Source organism: Homo sapiens, chromosome 3 (assembly GCF_000001405.40).
Source record: "Homo sapiens chromosome 3, GRCh38.p14 Primary Assembly".
In the NCBI taxonomy this organism is placed as follows: domain Eukaryota; kingdom Metazoa; phylum Chordata; class Mammalia; order Primates; family Hominidae; genus Homo; species Homo sapiens.
This window is the reverse complement of record NC_000003.12, coordinates 24,809,758-24,814,704: the sequence shown is the minus strand read 5'-3', so window position 1 is coordinate 24,814,704 and position 4,947 is coordinate 24,809,758. Positions and strand designations below refer to the sequence as shown.

The 4,947-nt window shown below is 38.4% G+C and overlaps 1 long non-coding RNA gene across 1 annotated transcript; it reads right to left on the bottom strand.

Annotated features, from left to right (window-relative positions):
* Positions 1-324: 324 nt before the first annotated feature.
* On the bottom strand, positions 325-3,996 carry LOC124909355 (uncharacterized). Its single transcript, XR_007095846.1, has 2 exons — positions 3,682-3,996; positions 325-998 (listed from the first exon to the last, which is right to left on the bottom strand). It is a non-coding gene; the product is annotated as an uncharacterized LOC124909355 (long non-coding RNA).
* Positions 3,997-4,947: the final 951 nt, after the last annotated feature.

The following is a 4,947-nucleotide window of genomic DNA, read 5'->3' as shown; positions in this document are numbered from 1 at the left end:
GCAATCTTCCAGCTCCCTATGTGTGAACCATGTGGATACATAACACTACAATTTAAACAACTAAAATAAAATCCACAGTAGACCAAGACATTGAATTGAAATTTCTCAAGACCAGACCAACCAAGCAAGGAAACAAAAAATACATTATTTCCCTTAGTTTGGTTTCAGTTAATAATCTCTACTGTTTTAAAATTATCTTCTTTAATAGCAAGCACTTGAAACTGACTTTGGCAGAATGGAGTTGGAGGGAGAGAAGCTTACAGAGCCAAACGGAAGAGTGACAGATACTGAAGAAACAAAAAGAAACCAAGAAGCTCCCAAAAGTCCTGGTAGCAGGGGTGAGTCCACAACTTTATTAGTTATCTATTGCAATTTAACAGATTACTCCCCAGACTTAGTAGCTTAAAATGACAATAAGCACCATTATCTCTCACAGTTTCAATGGTTAATAATTTGGGAGCATCTTGGCTGTTTTTGTCTCAGGGTGTCTCATGAAGTTACCACCAAGATGTTGGCCACAGGCCGGGCACGGTGGCTCACACCAGTAATCCCAGCACCTTGGGAGGCCAAGGTGGGTGGATCACCTGAGGTCGGGAGTTTGAGGCCAGCCTGACCAACATGGAGAAACCCGTCTCTACTAAAAATACAAACATTAGCCGGGTGTGGTGGTGCATGCCTGTAATCCCAGCTACTTGGGAGGCTGGGGCAGGAGAATCGCTTGAACCTGGGAGGCGGAGGTAGCAGTGAGCTGAGATTGAACCATTGCACTCCAGCCTGGGCAACGAGAGGGAAACTCCATCTTGGAAAAAAAAAAAAAAAAGATGTTGGCCACAGCTGAAGTCAGGTGAAGGATTAACCAGAGCCAGAGATCCCAGTTCCAATGAGGTTCATTCACATGGCTGTCAAGCTAGTGCTGGACTTTAGCAAGAGCGTCAGTTTTTCTTCACATTCAAGTCCTCTAGGTCAGTTTGAGTGTCCGAACAGCACAGTGCTGATTCCTTTTAGAAACAGAGATGAGAAAGAAAAAGAGATGAGAGAAAGAAGGAAGGAAGGAAAGAAAGAAAGGAAGGAAAGAGAGAGAAAGAAAGAGAAAGAAAGAAAGAAAAGAAAGAAAGAAAGAAAGAGAAAGAAAGAAAGAAGGGAAGGAAGGAAGAAAGAAAGAAGGGAAGGAAGGAAGGAAGGAAGGGAGAGAGAGAAGGAAGGAAGGAAAGAAAGAAAAAGAAAGAGAAGGAAAGAAGAAAGAAAGAGAAGGAAAGAAGAAAGAAAGAAAGAAAGAAAGAAAGAAAGAAAGAAAGAAAGAAAGAAAGAAAGAAAGAAAGAAAAAGAAAACAAATCAGGTAAAGTTGTATCCTTTTTATGACCTAGATTTGAGAGTTACACAGAAATTACACACTCTATTCATTAGAAGCAAGTCACTAAGTCTGCCAAAATCAAAGAAAAAGGAATGAGTTTCCATCTTTTGAAGGGAGGGGTGTCAAAGGATTTGCAGACATACTGAAACCACTACAACATCCTTCCTAGGGCTTCTACTGGAATGGATCAACTCCAGATGTTTTATTCTGGTTTTGTATCATCCTGGTGAAAGTTCAAAGTCAAAGGAAAGCCAAACTGTCATATTTTGTTCATGGATCTACCCTTTGGTGAGGGAGGCTAGAAATCTTGGCTTAAATTTCTACTAAAACTATACATAATGGAAATTATTAATAATTCCTAAAAGGATTTAAAGGTTTTATTATTTATATTTGTGTAATACAAATGATTTGGATATTAAGATTCTCAAAACAATAAAAGTCCACAACATATGGAAACAGCAAATTTGAAAAAAAAACAAAATTAAACGTATTAAATATCTATCAAATACAATTCCCTGTCACGTTGCATATTCTTTGACGAGCACAGCACAGTACTAACAACAGTGTTCACAAGATTGAAGACCTCCTGTATTGCTTTTCAATCTAATATCTCAAGCACAGTTAGATTTTCCATCTTACACAACTATGGATTTCTATTCTTCAATACTTTCTCTAAGCAAACGGTGTAACTGCTCATTAAATTGGTTCCTCTTCCAACTGTATTTCAATTAGTGGTAACATTTTTCTGTTACAAACTCTAGAAATGAATTCTATTACCAATAAAACTGTTCTTACTTCAGAGATGAATAAAATCTTCTAAAAATACTTTCTGAACTGACACTGTTAACCTCTCAGGATATAAGAAACTTTTATAACATCGTTTTTCTTGGTGTACAGGCAACCCAGAACCAGCTTCCACCTGGTTCTCTCTCTCTCTCTCTTTCCCTCCCTCTCTCCCTCCCACCCCTTTTCTGACCTTTCCAGAAGCAGAATTTGGCATGGAGCCCAGCTCTAGAATAGGTTTCTTTCCTTCACTTACTCCACTCTTAACAGCCAACTGGTTTGTTTTGGTGGGGAATCAGCCACCATGACATGAGAATGCTGCAAGTGTCTCACATGAAGAATCTGGTGCAGCTTCAAGAGTGAGGTGAACAATTTGGTAACACCAAGCATGCAGCAGACATCTCAGCAATAATTCAACAATAAAAAATAAAATTAGCAATTGATTTACCCCACCAAGAATCTATCAGTCATAAAAACAAAGAAAGTAAAAGAAAGAACTTTCTGTTTCTTTGAGTAAATGATTTTTGAAGGATGGCTATAAAGGAAATATAGTCAGTGTTTAATCTTGTAGTCCATAAATGTTTTCTTCAAGTTGCAGGAAGGAACTGAAGTGTAACAGAAGAGGGAAGGAATGTCCCACACCCATTCATGCCAAATGAAGTAGGATATTTACTAATACATGTTCAAAAAAGGGATAAGATGGGAACTGCAAAGACATAGGATTGAGGAGTGCACTAATGTGATATCACATGGTTTGAAACTTCTAACTTAACTAATAAATAGAAAATAATAACAATAATAGCTACCTCTGAAAAGACAGAAATGAGGCTCTGAGGTCATTAATCTGAGAGGCGTATAAAAGATGCATTTTTCACCTCCGCGATTTAGGGAATACTTACGCCACATCAGAGCAGACATTGCAACCTATTTGAATATATATTTTCAATATCATTTTGGCCTCATTGGCCTCATTTTTTTGGTGGGAAATAAAAACTACTCAAGCTTATCAGTCACATCCCACCTGTTCTGAAACAATAAGAAAGAGTCCCAGCAGACAACGTTTTCATACTTAGAAAGCTCAAGGTACTTAAAGAAATAACATTCTAATTACTTCTCTTCTGGCCTCAGATGACTACGATGTGTTGCCTATTTTTCTAAGACAGTCCTTTCCTAACCATGGAGTCCCTGGTTTCCTCAGGGTTCCTCAAGACTGGGTGTGCTTGGGGTGGGGGACTTGGCCCTAGGTCCTCCCACACCAGCTTCTTCCACCCCAAGTGGAGCCACCCAATTGTATCTTTTACATGCAGAACTTACAAGCAAGATGCCATGTGAAGAAAGGGCTTCACAACTGAAAAGAAATTTGAAGACTGTTCCTTTAAGGCAATGGCAAACACGAAAACAAAGAAGCAAGCAAAACAAACCAGTTGGCTGTTAAGAGTGGAGTAAGTGAAGGAAAGCAACCTATTCTAGAGCTGGGCTCCATGCCAAATTCCGCTTCTGAAAAGGTCAGGCATTCCCCCACTACAAGTTCCCCAAAGAGGCTTACCATTTCCCTGTGCTCTCTCAGCATAACAGCGGATTCTAAGACACAGTGAGACATCTGGAAAATAAAAAGATAATCTCCTTCTCCGTTTACTAGCCTCTGGCCCCATTGGCCTTTCTCCCATCTTGGCCATCGTCCTTGCCACTGCCATCCACACTTCTCAAAGACTTCCATTGCCTGCCTCCATCCAGGCATCACTCCCAGCTTTCACCAAATTTTACTTTCTTTTCCTCTTCCTTATCAAAAGTTGCCTGTCCTGGGCCCATTTCTTCGTTTCCGTGTGACTCATTAGTTAAGCTAATAACCAATTCTGCCCAGAGTGATAATGGCTTAATAAATAACCAACTATTTATTCAATCATTTGCATACTCACTAACTCACTCAACTAATATTTTCAGGCTTTGTATTCCTAGAAAAAATCGAGTAATTTAAGTAATTATGATACATCAGTGGAATGACATATTCAGGCAGGGAAACTCCACCTGGCACCTCATAAATGGCTGCTACTGCCCCCGAAAAAGAATTTATTATAGTTCGTGGTGTTATGATACTTGTTTGTGTGTTGGTAGAGGGAGAAGTAGAAGGAAGAAGTTTTTTTTTTTTTTTTTTTTTTTTCCGGGAGAAATAAAGTCTATCTGTGACACAAACTAGCTGGATGATTTTGAACAAGTTGTTTCAACTTCCTGATTTCAATTTCTACACCTTTAAAATGAGTGATCTAGAGCCAATTATCTTTAAGCCTCTTTACAAATCTTTATTCAGTCTTAGGATTCTTGTTCTCAACAGGAGATATCTTCTTTTGCTATTTCCTTCCATAGTATACCTGTTACTATTACAAGATGCTTCTTCACCTACTACCCCAAAAGGAACACATAGAAACTCAGAACAAATAGAAACACAGACTATTAGTTTGTTCAACCAGAGATGTCCTTAGCGCCTTACAGCCCTCTGCATGGAAAATGCTTGGCTCACACTAGCTCCCTGTCTCTTATTTAAGGACAATCCCAGTTCAATATTTTCATAAGCACATAGCCAACTTAATGATAATAGGAAACTTCTTTCCCCAAAATTCCATTATGAAAATTTTCAAATGTGCAGAATATGAAAGAATAATATATTAGTCACTATAAGGGCCCCTCCTGGATTCTATAATAAATATTTTACTTTATCACATTATTATTCATCCATCTCTCCATGTTACCATTAATTCAGAAGATAAGGATTTAGTAAACAATGTTAAAAATTACCAAATTTGATAATAAATTGTTT